The following is a 16,127-nucleotide window of genomic DNA, read 5'->3' as shown; positions in this document are numbered from 1 at the left end:
TAGAGTGGAGAGATGCAGAAGAGGGTCCCAGAACAGTGAAAGGAAAGGAGGCAAAAAGGACCCAGCCTGGAGCCCCTGAAAGCCTTGCCTGGGACCCCAGTCCTTAAATTCTATAGGTTCCTAGACCATAGCTTGATCTTTGATCCACAGCAGGCACTGCAAAGCTCTAGCTCACCCTGCTTTTATACTCCACAAAACATACACAGACGTACCCCTCACACTTATGGGATGTGCACATACACAGACAGGAACACCCAGGTGTATATGAGAGACCAGGTGTCTATGAGAGACATGTGAAGCCCCAAGGGACACAGTGTGCACATGTATGTACATGCAGAAACACAGAGACACCCATCCCCAAAGCAGCAGACATCACAAACACACATGATGAGTTCAGAACAAGAGCTCACAGGCCTCACGAGCTGCCTGCATACATCATATTTGTGGATTCAGACTCTGTTTCCCCACTGGGCCAGGGGCATAGTACCTACCACTGATCACCTGCCCAAAGAGCTCCTCCGGAGTATCTCCAAAAAAAGGGACGCAGCCCACCAGGAACTCATACAGGATAATGCCCATGGCCCACCAGTCCACTGGCTTCCCATAGCCCTGGCGCAGGATCACCTCAGGCGCAATGTATTCTGGGGTCCCGCATACCTGGGCACAGAAAAGCCAGGCTGGCTCAGCCTCCTGAGGCTGCTGACTGGCATGACAGCCGGAGATGGGGGATGCTCCCATCTCGAGCAGAAGAATCTCTGAATGAAGACTCAGCCCACCTTAGTTAATGAACAAGATCAACAGAAGCCCCAGGGAACAAGAGTCGGAACTGTCAGTAGGTATTTCCTAATTAACAAAAATGTCTCATTCTAGCCCGGAACTACCATCCCTTAAGCCCTCAACACCCACCTCTGGCATGTGATCCCACAATGGGCCTCTGCACTCCAGCCTCTAACAAAACAGACCCTATCAGTCATGTAACAACTACAGGGACCGGTGAACAGTCACAACCTGAAATGTCAAACCAGGGAACATCCAGAGGCTGCCTCTCAGGACACTGGGCCACAGCCCAATGGAAATTCAGAGCTGTGTTCCAAGAACCTCAGGCTCCAGGAGAGCCTTGCCCTTGATTCAGGCTGGGAGATTCAGGACTGATCTCATATGAAACTCTGTGCTAACAGTTATATGACCTATTTTCCCCAAACCCTGAGGAGGAAGATGACTTTGGATTTTATATCCATATGATTCTCAAGGCTCATCCTGTTTTCCAAATGTGCTACCTATCTCAGTGCCTCTCTGGAACCCAAAGGTAGAAAAGATAGGGGTTCCCAATCTTAACATCTAGCTACAAGGTAGGCATATGGCCCCAAGGCCTTATTCTAGGGCCTGGAATCTATGTATGTGTACACAAATGTAGAGATGGGGTCTCACTATGTTGCCCAGGCTGGCCTCAAGCGATCCTCCTGCCTCAGCCTCCCAAAGGGTTGGGATTACGGGCGTAAGACACTGCGCCAGGACAAGGGCCTAGAATTTAACCCCCAGTGTATCAACTACCCTTCCTTACCTGCTTGTCCAGGAATTCCCGGGCATCCTTTTCAATATGACCCTCATACAAGTTCGTTGTCAGACTCATGAGGCCAATTTTGGACAGTCCAAAGTCCGTGAGCTTGATGTGCCCCATGGATGTAATTAGGAGGCTGGAAGAACGAAGAAATAAAATTAAGAAGTTATTCCTGGTTTTCTGAGAGTACTGATTTTAGTATATGCCCAGTTTCCCCACTCAGGCTTCCATGGGGGTACTGTGAGACACAAGCTGGGTAGCTTCAGCTGGGGGGACAGGCAGGTGTGGACACGTAAATCGCTCTGGCTGTGTGAGTGCTGCATTCTGCACAAGCAACGAACCTGCCTTTTGCCCATTCCCACAACTCCATTTCTGCTTATTGCCCTAACTGTATTCTATGTTGGGGGCAGGAGTCATTCAGTTGAGGAACAGAGTTTCTTCTACAGAGCTGAGATCAGCCTCATCCTAAGGCAGCTGCTGGAGCCATTCCTAGTCCCCTCTCCCAATCTGAGTGGCCCATAATACTCCTGTTTCAGGGAGAGGGGCAGGGGGCACACATAATTTTGTTCCATGTCCATGGCTGGTCTTGGGAGGAGGGTTAGTTGGGAGAAACTAGAACTAAGATCCCTTTATATACTCTGCCTGAGCCACTCATTTTGTGCTGAAGGCTTTACCCTGCCACCCTTTTATTCTAATGATTCCCCAAATAGTACCTCTGGCTCTGACTTCCTTTTTGAGCTCCAGGCCTACCCAACTGCCCATGTGTCTTACAGGCTCCAGAAACTCAACCTGTCCAAAACAAAGTCATGCCTCCCAACTGGTTCCCCTCCTCAGTGAAAAACAATAATTTTGGTTATCTGTTGAGCTCTGTGCTAAGTGCTTTAAAAATATTCTGGCCCCTGAAATGTTTTCTAGAGTAACACATCAAAGGTAGGTGTAATTATTCCCTATATTAGAAAGGAGGAACGTGAGGGTCAGGGAAACTTTAATTAGTAGACTCAAACTCAGACTTAATAAGCAGAAGAGTGGCCATTTGAATTCAGGTCTGTCTTATGTCAAAGCCACTTTCTTCCACAGAGGCTTATCACCCTGCACCAGTCCCAAGCTGGAAATCTGGAACACATCCCAGCCTCTTCTGTTCCCTCACTTCCCTTCCTACCCCCACCCCAGCCTGATCCTCTTTCCTTTATACTTCCCCACACTACCCCTCTTCTTTCTATCCTGACTCCCTGTTCTGCTGCAGGCATTGCTGTCTTTCCCTGGTCTCGGTATCTCTTTGGCAGTGGTCTCAGTGTCTCTTTTCACCGGCAGAGTGAGCTTTCTAAACCTGAACCATAATCTGGGCATGCCATTCTATCATATCTTTGGTTAGCAGACCCTTCCAAGACTCTCTAGGCCCCTTTAGAATAAAACCCAAATATAACAAAAGGGCCCTTGATGAACTAGTTCCTGCCTCTCTCTCTAGCCTTTTCTCTTACTACTCTCTCACCATCTAAGCTGTCGCCATATTGCACTATTTGTAGTTCCTGAACAAGTGCTGTTCTCTTGCACCTGTGTGACTCTGCACATTCTGCTCTCCTGCTTTAGAAAGCAGGTCTTCCTTTTTCCACTTGACTAATACCCTCTGAGAAGAAGCCTATATACATATATTTCTGTCTCCCACTGTAGACTTAAGTTCTACATGCCAGGGACTACATTTAAAAACCCACAATATAGTGCTGGCACAGAGTAGATGTCAGTAAACGTCAGGACACTTGTTTAGCCATCTACTAGATGTGCTTATTCTTTTGTTCTTGCTTGGTTTCTTCAGTGGGGCTCCTCAATGACTCTTCCATGTCACCGAAGCCTTATAGTGTTCCAGCCAGACCTTGAGGCAATGATCTGCATCTGGGGTGGTCGGGGGGCTAGAGAACTAGGCCCAGATGGACACACACAGGAGCATGTTTTCCCGGTAGCCATCTGGATAGATTTAGAGCTACTGTGCTTGCCAACATTTTATCTGGAGACCCAAGAGGGAGACCCTGGACAAGGGACACAGACTGTGGACATACTTGTCAGGCTTGAGGTCACGGTGCACGATGCCATAGTTGTGTAAGTACTCCAGGGCCAGCACAGTTTCCGCAAAGTATAGACGCACCATGTCCACAGGCAGGGCCCCAATATTCTTCAGCAGAGTGGCACAGTCTCCCCCTGCAACAAGCCCAGGCTACCATGAGGAAAGGATTCAGTTCCCTGCTCTAGCTAGCCAGCTCCCATCTGGCAGTTTCTGAGGTCCCAGAGGAGACAGCTTCATGGAATATCCTGGTGCTGGAGACTCTGATTCTAGCCCCTTTGCTGCTGGCATGGGTGGGAGACAGGGTGATATGGTTTGGCTGTGTCCCCACCCATAGCTCATCTTGAATTGCAGCTCCCATAATTCCCATGTGTTGTGGGAAGGGACCTGGAGGGAGATAACTGAATCATGGAAGTGGGTCTTTCCCATGCTATTCTCGTGATAGTGAATAAGTCTCATGAGATCTGATGGTTATTTTTATTTATTTATTTTTTTGAGGCAAAGTCTTGCTCTGTCACCCAGGCTAGAGTGCAGTGGTGTGATATCAGCTCACCGCAACCTCTGCCTCCCAGGTTCAAGCGATTCTCCTGCCTCAGCCTCCCGAGTAGCTGGGATCACAGGCGTGCACCACCACACCCAGCTAATTTTTGCATTTTTTGTAGAGACGGGGTTTCGCCATGTTGGTCAGGCTGGTCTCAAATTCCTGACCTCAGGTGATCCACCTGGCTCAGCCTCCCAAAGTGCTGGGATTACAGGCATGAGCCACCACGTCCGGCCCATCTGATGGTTTTATAAAGGGGAGCTTCCCTGCACAAGCTCTCTCTTGTCTGCTGCCATGTGAGACATGCCTTTCACCTTCTGCCATGATTGTGAGGCCTCCCCAGCCACATGGAACTGTAAGTCCACTAAACCTCTTTCTTTTGTAAATTGCCCAGTCTCTGGTATGCCTTTATTAGCAGCATGAAAATACACAGGGTATGGAGGGGGGTGGAAAGTAAAGTGAATCTGCTAATAGCTGTCATGGACATTTTTCAGGCCAGAGAGGGAAGGAACCCAGGCCTTTATTAAAAGTAATGGCAAACATGCAATTACTTTTGTACCAGCCTAATGTTTTTTAGGACAGGAATACTGCATACTGTAAACACATCTGGCTGAGATGTTAACATCTGTTCATGTTACTTCCTTCTTACTGGCTTTTAGTTTCTGAGTAAAGTAACACTATGAACTCCCAGCATGTACCCAGTAAACACTAAAGGACAGTTTTGTTCAGCTTCAGCTTCAAGACTAGGCACAGTATCTTTGGAGGCTGTACACACAGTGAGAAGGTGAGAGGGAAGGGAAACTGGCAAAGCTGCTGCCTCCCTCCAGAACTATGCCCCATGTTGCTCTTCTGTTCTATTCTCAGAGCATTTTGCTTGGTTTTAAGGGGTGTCCCCTTTGCAAGCCAGTCAGGGTAATTAATGGCTTTCCTTTCTTCTGAGGGTCCAGATGCAAACCTCCTAGCACCTAATCCTGGGCTTTTGTAGCTCTGCTGCCTCCTCTGTTGCTGTCTGATACCAGCAGTAGAGAGCGTGCAGGCTTTGGGGTGCAAGATTCTATAGCTGCTGGCCTGCTACATCCTATCCCAGAATGCCTCTCATGGTAGAGGCAGGGAGCTTTGTGCCCACTGTGGCCAAATGGTCTCTGTGATCCTGAGGCAGAAACCAATGCCAAAGGTGGACTGGAAAGCTGGGCCCTGAAACTTCACCTCTGTACAAAGCTGCTGGTCCCTGTTTAAGGCTAAGTCTCAGACTGTGCCTTGGCCTCCATGCCAGGCCACCTTTGCCTCAGTACCTTCAACGTACTCCATCACCATGCACAAGTGGCGCTTGGTATCAAAGGAGCAGAACATGCTGACCACAAAGGGGTTCTCAGCGAAAGTCAGTATGTCACGCTCCACGAAGGCCTGCTGGATCTGGTTCCGTAGGATCAGGTTCTGCTTGTTGATCTTCTTCATGGCAAAGCGCTGCCGGGTGGACTTGTGCCGCACCAGAAATACAGCCCTGGGAAACAAAGTCCGGCCCATCCCCCATGGACCCTCAGCACCTGAGCTGTGCTCTCTGCCACCCAAACTGCCTTCTCTCACACCTTAATTAATGCACAGAACAAGGGGGCAAGGGCATGCATATCAGTGAGAAGGGTCTGGGACCCCCTGGTCCATAGAACTCTTAAACTTCTTGATAGACCATGTCCTGATGACACGGCTCAATGCTTCCCCAGAGCTCAGGGAATGGAGGATGCGTGGTAGTAAGAGGCGTGGGAATCTTGTCTGGGAAAGGAACAATGATCGGATGTCAGAGGAATCTGAACTCCTGCCCACCCAGGAGGCTTCTGGGAGTGAGAAGGTCCACCCCGAGGCATCTGCCCAGAGGACTGGGCAGCATACACTCTCACATGGAAGAGATCAAAGGCTGACCCGGCTTCAGTCCTGGCCACACCCTGACCCCTGCCTTTACCCATAGGCGCCATTGCTGATGAGCTTAATGGTCTCGAAGTCCTCTTCAGAGGGTGTCTTTTTAGATGGCAGAGATGCCCCATGGCCCTGGAAGACAAGGGAAAAGGCAGGAGACAGGCATGCTTCTCAGAGCCCATATCCTTGCAGAAGCTGTGGCTCTAGCATCTTCTCAGCTGTCAGCTCTAGTGCAGTCTCCTGCTCATTCTTCTGGGAGTAGAATGACTTCTCAGTGTTTGCTGTCACCAACTCCCCCATCCCTTCCTCAGATATTCTCTTAAAGAGAATTCATAGCTCTTTGCTTCATAGGGCCCAGGCTCCAGGAATGGGGTAGGAGCTCAGGGTTTTTACCTCAATAGAATCATCTGTCTCTGGAGTGTCAGGACTGTCACAGCTGCTCAACTGGGCCATTTCTGGAAACAAAGATACAAGAGAAGAATGTGCGTGGCAATGTCAGGTATCTCAGCAGTATCCTCAGATCACACAACAGGTGCATGTAGGGTAGTCATTAATGCTTTTTGCATCAGCCTAGGATGTGAATTCAGTCCCATGGCACTATACCCAATGTAGTCCCAGCTTTTGGATCAGGAAACAAGCCAAATCCTACTGCTACTCCCATTTCCAGAAGTCCATTGCCATTCACAGGGCCTGGCAAATTCTATAAACTGGGGACATTTCCTGGAAAACAGGGCCTGAAACTGGGTTACTAGTTCCCATCCTGCTGGCCAAGACTGCTTCACTGGATGGGGCTGGGAAGCACAGAAGGCAGGAGCAGGATACCTACAGACCAGGGACTTGGAAGCCCATGGTTGCTGCAGGGGTTCAGCAGGAAGCCCAGAAGAATGGCAGTATCCTCTGAAGCCCTGTGTTGGACTACCCCAAAGACACAGGAAGACCTGTAAGGTGGCCAAGAGTAGAGGCAAGTTGCAGAGGAGGTGACCATTTTTGCAAATGTGATTGTGGCCCTTTGTTGTTGACCTCTTTGGAACTGAGGTTCTAAATGCAACTCAGCCGGGCCAATGCAATCCAGGTTGGGATCTATCAGGCAGATGTGAACAGCAGTTCCAAAGTAAAGACTGTTTTGTCACAGAGATCACAGGGTATCTCCTAAAATCCTGAGGCCCCCGGGGCCATGTTGTGTCCATGTCCAAGCTAAGTCTCTTTTCCAAGCAGCTTCCCTGCTGTTAGAGCTTGCCAGCAGCAGTGGGGCCTCTTTGCAGCCACTAGGCAGCATGCTCACCTTCTAGGGGATCCCGGGTGAGGCCCAGCTGGCTAACGATGTAGCGGGGAATGTCACATTTAATCCCTTGTCCCTCTTTGGCGTGGCCCTCAGCTGCTTCTAAAAGGTGGTAGAACTCTTCAGGGTCAAACTCCTGTACCAAGGGAGAGAGATAGTCAGTGGTGACAGATATAAGCGAAAGCTGCTGGCATCTTTGGTTTTACAGCATATAGTAGACTGAGATGAACAAGACTTTCTCTGTGATAGGACACTCCCACCCCTGAATATTCAGAAACAACATGATTCAGGGATCACAGGAATGGGGACAAAGATGTCTTACAGGTCACCTCCAGATTGGACATGCTAAGCATATGCTGTCTTCCTGGCAGTAAGAACTAGAGGTTTTACTCTAAAGAGAGCTCAGCCTATTGATCTGGTCCCATGCTTTCCATCAGCCAGGTGGCACTGTCTGGTGTATTCAGATGCCCAGTCCACAGCTGTCCTGGCACACACTCAATTATGGCTCACAAGAGCTTTGGCAAAGCCCTACTGGTGCATGTATACCTTCAAATATTTACTGGGCACCTCCTATGTGCTAGAGGCTGGAAATCCATTGAAAAGCACAATCCTTGTCTGCACATAATAACTGAGTGCCTACTAAGTGCCACACACTGGGTTAAACCCTCTAGCAACTCTTTGACCTCACTGAGGAAATCAAGGCTTTCAGGGATGCACTGATTTGTCCATAATCACAGTAGTAGGAAGGAACAGAAAACCAGCATTCAGCCCAGGTCTGACTCCAAGCCCCTGCTTAGCCAAGGACTTCATGTTCCTGAGGGAGAGGCTCTCTGCTCTATCACAGCATAGCCTCTGCCCTGAACTCTGTTCTCATTCCCTGTGGCCTCACTGTTTTGGAGAACTGTACCTATCTGGATATAACCTACGCCAGACCTGGAAGTCCTTTTAACTTCTTATCCTTCCTTAGCTCCTATTTGGTCAGAATGTCTCTCTCATAAATACCCCTCTAATCCACCTCTTTCTCTCTATTATCCTACCATTCACTGTCTGAGTTCTGGCCACCCCATCTCACATGAATTTGCTTTGAGTACCTCTCCCCTGATGTCCCTGGCTCATCCTGCCCTCTCTTCCAATTCACTATCCATGTTGCAGCCAAAGTAATCTTTCTTAGGACTAAATCTGATGTAATATTTACACAGAAATAAATAGGAACCAATTACTGATACATGCAACAACATGTATGAATTTCTACAAACATGCTGAGTGAAAGAATTCAGAACATACTACAGAAACCACACAGAAACATGGTTTCATTTCTAGGAAACTGTACAAAAGGCAAACCCATCCCTAGTGAAACAAAGCAGTTAAGTTATTGTCTGGGAGCAGGAGGAAGAGAGGACTGACTTCAAAGGGGCACAAGGGAACTTATATGACAGAAATATTCTCTATGTCAGCTGTGGCCACGATTCTACAAGTGTGTATTTGTTAAATCTCAATGAACTGTACCATCAAAGGGATATATTTTATTGTATGAAAATTATACCTTAATAATATTTTTTAAGAAAAAAGTAAATGCGGCCATGTCACATTCTTACCTAAACTTTCTGGTGTCTCCAAGTGGCCGTAAGGGTAATGAAAAACTCCAGAGCCGAGAACCCGACACCCTCCATGACCCTGTCACAGCCTACCTTCCAGGCTTACCCCTCAGCACTTCTTCAAACCCACCCTGTGCCCCACTGAATGCTCCTTCCCATGCTCCCGATCTGGGAAACTTAGACTCATCCTTCAGTTTGCTGAATAAGCCTCACGTCCCCCAGGGAGCATTCACTGAATGTTCCTTCCAGGGAAGACTAAAGCACTTCCTTTTCCAGGTTCCCGTTACGCTGTGTACTGACCTCAACTGCAACACTTCTTGCAGTATTGTAATTACTATTTACATGTCCTCATGCCTCATGCTTCCCAACTCCACTGTAGAGGAAACATCCCAAGATCAGAGACTGTGCTTTATTCATGTCTGTATCTCCAGTGTCTAGCAGGAAGTAGGTACTCAGTCAAGTATTGCTGAAGATAAAATGAAGGACTCAACTTGTACAAACTAAACTGGGCTATGCTCCTGACGCTTCTCACCCCCAAGACCCCCACTGATGTGAGCCCTGCTCATGTGGGGGTGGCCTAGACTAATAATTCTCCCTGCCGCATCCCCTCAGGACCATACATTTGTCCTCACAAAAACCTGTTTAGTCCCCCAATGGTGGCAAATCATATTTAAATAAGGACCTAAGCAACAGAAATGGCAGTGGTTACCACCACAGTTTTGCTGTCATCAGGATACTTCCTCTATAGTCCTCCTCTAAATCTGCCCACCTGACTTTCCTAGAGTCCACTCACCAGGCATTCCAGGAGACGTGCTGGGCGGGCAATGATAATCATCAGCTTTTTCACCAGCTGCATCACAAAAGCCACTTCTGAGCTCTCTGAGCGCTCATGAGCCTATAGAGAAAAGAAGCGTTGCTTAATCTATTGGCCCAGTGTGGCTGGGCTAAGCAGGACCAGACAGGGCAGAGCTGACTCCAGGGAGAAACAATTCGGTAGCATAGAGAGCTCCGCAAAGCAAGGAACTCAGAGAAGGCTGGCTGGCTGTGAGAGGGAGCGAGTTGCTCATAGGGAACCATTTCTGCTTTAGAACACTACATGACACCAAGAAATGCCACACAGACATACAGCTGTACCTGCTCCTCCATCCAACAAGCCTCACTTACCCTCCAGACCCTAGCTCAAGGGGCAGCTCTCAATGGTGCCTTCACTGATGTTCACTTTCCACCCTAGACTGTAAGGAGTAGAAAGACCTCAAAGCTGAGGAGTCATATGACCAGAAAGTACTTCAGAAGGATCACTCTGGCTGCAGTGTAGAGAGTACACTAAAGAGGGCAAGGCTAAATGCAGGAAAACCCATTAGCAGGCAACTCTAATAATTCAGATGAAAAAGGCATAGGTCAAGGCAGAAGAATGCAGACAAGGGGATAGACGTGGGTTACTACAGAAGCAGATAAGGGGTGAAAGAAGCACGACAGAAGGCAACTACAACTTCAATTTTAGGAAAATTACAATGAATAAGTGAAATAGTAACTATAAGAAGCCATTTAGGTGATAGGTAAAGAATGTACTGCATTTGGTTTTAGAGAAAGAACAGCTAGGCAGAAAAGATAAGCTCAGTTCTGGGCGTGCAGTTTCAGGCACCTATATGAGAGTCTCTTGGGTATCTGCTTGGCCGATGGGCCTTTCTCTTTTTTCCTGAGAACTGCTCTGGTTTCTAGGAGCCACATTTGTACTGTGTGTCTGTACCTTCCCTCCCACCTCTAATAGCTGACCAGAGAGGATCACTTTCCTAGGAATTTAAAAAAGGATAGAAAGACAACTGTTAACGTCAGTGTGGCAGAACCGTTTAAGAACTGTGAAAAGAGATGCATACCTACCATGGAAATAGAGGAAAAGATGCATACAGAAAAAGGAAGAATGAAGACTTCCTGAGCTTCCTGGAGCTTCTGGTTTCTAGTTCTGGTTCCTTCTTAAGGCCTGGTTATATCCCTCGCTTCAATTCTCTAAGACCTACTCCTTTTACTCTTATAATGTTTCCCTTTACTGTTTAAACTATTCTGAATCAGTTTCTATTACGTGCAACCAAAGAATAAGAACCAATATAGGGAAGTCAAAGTGGAGGAGTCCAGCAGGCAGCTGGGTGCACTGATCTGAAGCTCAGGAGAACAGTAAGAGTGGCAGCCACATGTGGGAGTCCTCAGCGTAGAGATGACAACTGAAGACATGGGAGCAGGTGGCAAGACATCAGAGAGAGAGTGGAGGAAAGAGAAAGGGGAGACCAGGCATGCCGGATGGTGCCCTGTGACACACCAGTAGGAAGAGGTGGGCAGCAAAGGAACTTGTGAAGAGGCAGCAAGAGTGGTGAGAACAGTGAATTGACAACTGGGGAAGGAAGTTTAGGAAGTATTCACTGTGCTCCACCGAGAGGTGGCAGAAGATGGGAACTGAAAGTGGCCACAGGATTTGGCAATTGGCCAGTGAGTTCCTTGGTGAATTTTGCCTGAACAGTTTTGGTAGACTGGTGGGAAGGGAAACTGGAAGGCAGAAGATTGAGTAGTAAATAGGATACAAGGAAAGAAAAACAGTAAATGCTATTGTGAATAGTGCCGCAATAAACATACGTGTGCATGTGTCTTTATAGCAGCATGATTTATAGTCCTTTGGGTATATACCCAGTAATGGGATGGCTGGGTCAAATGGTATTTCTAGTTCTAGATCCCTGAGGAATCGCCCCACTGACTTCCACAATGGTTGAACTAGTTTACAGTCCCACCAACAGTATAAAAGTGTTCCTATTTCTCCACATCCTCTCCAGCACCTGTTGTTTCCTGACTTTTTAATGATTGCCATTCTAACTGGTGTGAGATGGTATCTCATTGTGGTTTTGATTTGCATTTCTCTGATGGCCAGTGATGGTGAGCATTTTTTCATGTGTTTTTTGGCTGCATAAATGTCTTCTTTTGAGAAGTGTCTGCTCATGTCCTTCGCCCACTTTTTGATGGGGTTGTTTTTTTCTTGTAAATTTGAGTTCATTGTAGATTCTGGATATTAGCCCTTTGTCAGATGAGTAGGTTGCGAAAATTTTCTCCCATTTTGTAGGTTGCCTGTTCCCTCTGATGGTAGTTTCTTTTGCTGTGCAGCAGCTCTTTCGTTTAATTAGATCCCATTTGTCAATTTTGGCTTTTGTTGCCATTGCTTTTGGTGCTTTAGACATGAAGTCCTTGCCCAAGCCTATGTCCTGAATGGTAATGCCTAGGTTTTCTTCTAGGGTTTTTATGGTTTTAGGTCTAACGTTTAAGTCTTTAATCCATCTTGAATTAATTTTTATATAAGGTGTACGGAAGGGATCCAATTTCAGCTTTCTACATATGGCTAGCCAGTTTTCTCAGCACCATTTATTAAATAGGGAATCCTTTCCCCATTGCTTATTTTTCTCAGGTTTGTCAAAGATCAGATAGTTGTAGATATGCAGCGTTATTTCTGAGGGCTCTGTTCTGTTCCATTGATCTATATCTCTGTTTTGGTACCAGTACCATGCTGTTTTGGTTACTGTAGCCTTGTAGTATAGTTTGAAGTCAGGTAGCATGATGCCTCCAGCTTTGTTCTTTTGGCTTAGGATTGACTTGGCGATGCGGGCTCTTTTTTGGTTCCATATGAACTTTAAAGTAGTTTTTTCTAATTCTGTGAAGAAAGTCATTGGTAGCTTGATGGGGATGGTGTTGAATCTATAAAAATTACCTTGGGCAGTATGGCCATTTTCACGATATTGATTCTTCCTACCCATGAGCATGGAATGCTCTTCCATTTGTTTGTATCCTATTTCACTGAGCAGTGGTTTGTAGTTCTCCTTGAAGAGGTCCTTCACGTCCCTTGTAAGTTGGATTCCTAGGTATTTTATTCTCTTTGAAGCAATTGTGAATGGGAGTTCACTCATGATTTGGCTGTTTGTCTGTTATTGGTGTATAAGAATGCTTGTGATTTTTGTACATTGATTTTGTATCCTGAGACTTTGCTGAAGTTGCTTATCAGCTTAAGGAGATTTTGGGCTGAGACAATGGGGTTTTCTAGATATACAATCATGTCATCTGGAAACAGGGACAATTTGACTTCCTCTTTTCCTAATTGAATACCCTTTATTTCCTTCTCCTGCCTCATTGCCCTGGCCAGAACTTCCAAAACTATGTTGAATAGGAGTGGTCAGAGAGGGCATCCCTGTCTTGTGGCAGTTTTCAAAGGGAATGCTTCCAGTTTTTGCCCATTCAATTCAGTATGATATTGGCTGTGGGTTTGTCATAGATAGCTCTTATTATTTTGAGATACATCCCATCAATACCTAATTTACTGAGAGTTTTTAGCATGAAGGGTTGTTGAATTTTGTCAAAGGCCTTTTCTGCATCTATTGAGATAATCATGTGGTTTTTGTCTTTGGTTCTGTTTATATGCTGGATTACATTTATTGATTTATGTATATTGAACCAGCCTTGCATCCCAGGGATGAAGCCCACTTGATCATGGTGGATAAGCTTTTTGATGTACTACTGGATTCGGTTTGCCAGTATTTTATTGAGGATTTTTGCATCAATGTTCATCAAGGATATTGGTCTAAAATTCTCTTTTTTAGTTGTGTCTCTGCCCGGCTTTGGTATCAGGATGATGCTGGCATCATAAAATGAGTTAGGGAGGATTCCCTCTTTTTCTATTGATTGGAATAGTTTCAGAAGGAATGGTACCAATTCCTCCTTGTACCTCTGGTAGAATTCAGCTGTGAATCCATCTGGTCCTGGACTCTTTTTGGTTGGTAAGCTATTGATTATTGCCACAATTTCAGAGCCTGTTATTGGTCTATTCAGAGATTCAACTTCTTCCTGGTTTAGTCTTGGGAGGGTGTATGTGTCGAGGAATTTATCCATTTCTTCTAGATTTTCTAGTTTATTTGCGTAGAGATGTTTGTAGTATTCTCTGATGGTAGTTTGTATTTCTGTGGGATTGGTGGTGATATCCCCTTTATCACTTTTTATTGTGCCTATTTGATTCTTCTCTCTTTTCTTCTTTATTAGTCTTGGTAGCGGTCTATCAATTTTGTTGATCCTTTCAAAAAACCAGCTCCTGGATTCATTAATTTTTTGAAGGGTTTTTTGTGTCTCTATTTCCGTCAGTTCTGCTCTGATTTTAGTTATTTCTTGCCTTCTGCTAGCTTTTGAATGTGTTGCTCTTGCTTTTCTAGTTCTTTTAATTGTGATGTTAGGGTGTCAATTTTGGATCTTTCCTGCTTTCTCTTGTGGGCATTTAGTGCTATAAATTTCCCTCTACACACTGCTTTGAATGCGTCCCAGAGATTCTGGTATGTTGTGTCTTTGTTCTCGTTGGTTTCAAAGAACATCTTTATTTCTGCCTTCATTTCGTTATGTACCCAGTAGTCATTCAGGAGCAGGTTGTTCAGTTTCCATGTAGTTGAGTGGTTTTGAGTGAGTTTCTTAATCCTGAGTTCTAGTTTGATTGCACTGTGGTCTGAGAGACAGTTTGTTATAATTTCTGTTCTTTTACATTTGCTGAGGAGAGCTTTACTTCCAACTATGTGGTCAATTTTGGAATAGGTGTGATGCGGTGCTGAAAAAAATGTATATTCTGTTGATTTGGGGTGGAGGGTTCTGTAGATGTCTATTAGGTCCGCTTGGTGGAGAGCTGAGTTCAATTCCTGGGTATCCTTGCTAACTTTCTGTCACGCTGATCTGTCTAATGTTGACAGTGGGGTGTTAAAGTCTCCCATTATTATTGTGTGGGAGTCTAAGTCTCTTTGTAGGTCACTCAGGACTTGCTTTATGAAACTGGGTGCTCCTGTATTGGGTGCATATATATTTAGGATAGTTAGCTCTTCTTGTTGAATTGATCCCTTAACCAACCCAAATGTCCAACAATGATAGACTGGATTAAGAAAATGTGGCACATATACACCATGGAATACTATGCAGCCACAAAAAATGATGAGTTCATGTCCTTTGTAGGGACATGGATGAAATTGGAAATCATCATTCCCAGTAAACTATCGCAAGAACAAAAAACCAAACACCGCATATTCTCACTCATAGGTGGGAATTGAACAATGAGGACACATGGACACAGGAAGGGGAACATCACACTCTGGGGACTGTTGTGGGGTGGGGGGAGGGGGGAGGGATAGCATTAGGAGATATACCTAATGCTAAATGATGAGTTAATTGGTGCAGCACACCAGCATGGCACATGTATACATATGTAACTAACCTGCACATTGTGCACATGTACCCTAAAACTTAAAGTATAATAATAATAAAAAAAAGAAAAATACATAATCAAATTAAATAGTATTAAAAATCAATGAAAACGAAGATATAATTACCAATAATATCTTAGATTCTAATGGCTATTATTTTCAAATTGTACCACATTTTCCTAAATATCTTCCCATGAATGCCTAATTAGGATTATTTTTGCTTACAAATTATTTTAAAATTATTTTTCTTCGGAAAAAAAACACAGTAAATGAGGACTTTTCTTCTTTTAAAGTATTGGTTATGAAATGAAGAGAAAGGTTGAGCAGTTGGTGAAATCCCATTTATTCTTTTAAAACCTGTCTCCTGTTCCCAACACACATATACACACACACGAGAAGAAAAAGAATTGCTGTCTTTAACATGTTCTCTTGGCTGTTCATGCATACCACATGGTACTGTCATGCTGTTTCATAATGAGCTGTCTGTCTCTACAGCTACACTGCTGGGCCTAGTGAGTAAAGAGGCTCTGTGTCTTTTTCTTTTCTTTTTTTTTTTTTTGAGACAGAGTTTCACTTTTATTGCCCAGGCTGGAGTACAATGGCATGATCTTGGCTCACCGCAACCTCCACCTACTGAGTTCAAGCGATTCTCCTGCCTCAGCCTCCCGAGCGGCTGGGATTACAGGCGTGCGTCACCATGCTCAGCTAATTTTGTATTTTTAGTAGAGATGGGTTTTCTCCATGTTGATCAGGCTGGTCTGGAACTCCCGACCTCAGGTGATCTGCCTGCCTCAGCCTCCCAAAGTGCTGGGATTACAGGAGTGAGCCACCGCACCTGGCCCTGTTTCTTTCCTCAAATGCTAAGCCTAGCAGAATGCCTCCTATACAGCAGATGTCAGTCAATGTTTGTTGACTGTTTGAAAATGTATGATCTTAGGCTCT

General features: G+C 45.5%; 1 protein-coding gene across 34 annotated transcripts in view; it reads right to left on the bottom strand.

The window, feature by feature from the left end:
• Window positions 1-16,127, bottom strand: part of MAST2 (microtubule associated serine/threonine kinase 2) — a 232,511-nt gene that overhangs the window by 6,698 nt on the left and 209,686 nt on the right. For all 34 annotated transcript variants that reach the window (XM_011541059.3, XM_011541069.3, XM_011541061.3 and 31 more), the window contains 8 exons: window positions 9,728-9,829; window positions 7,343-7,475; window positions 6,454-6,515; window positions 6,107-6,192; window positions 5,445-5,653; window positions 3,610-3,748; window positions 1,562-1,694; window positions 492-657 (listed from right to left, as the gene is read on the bottom strand). In XM_011541059.3, coding sequence (XP_011539361.1) covers window positions 492-657; window positions 1,562-1,694; window positions 3,610-3,748; window positions 5,445-5,653; window positions 6,107-6,192; window positions 6,454-6,515; window positions 7,343-7,475; window positions 9,728-9,829 — 1,030 coding nt within the window. The remainder of the gene's footprint in view (window positions 1-491; window positions 658-1,561; window positions 1,695-3,609; window positions 3,749-5,444; window positions 5,654-6,106; window positions 6,193-6,453; window positions 6,516-7,342; window positions 7,476-9,727; window positions 9,830-16,127) is intronic.

The sequence above is a fragment of the Homo sapiens genome, chromosome 1 (assembly GCF_000001405.40).
Source record: "Homo sapiens chromosome 1, GRCh38.p14 Primary Assembly".
NCBI lineage: Eukaryota > Metazoa > Chordata > Mammalia > Primates > Hominidae > Homo > Homo sapiens.
The sequence above is the reverse complement of the archived record's forward strand: the minus strand, read 5'-3'. Positions and strand labels throughout refer to the sequence as shown.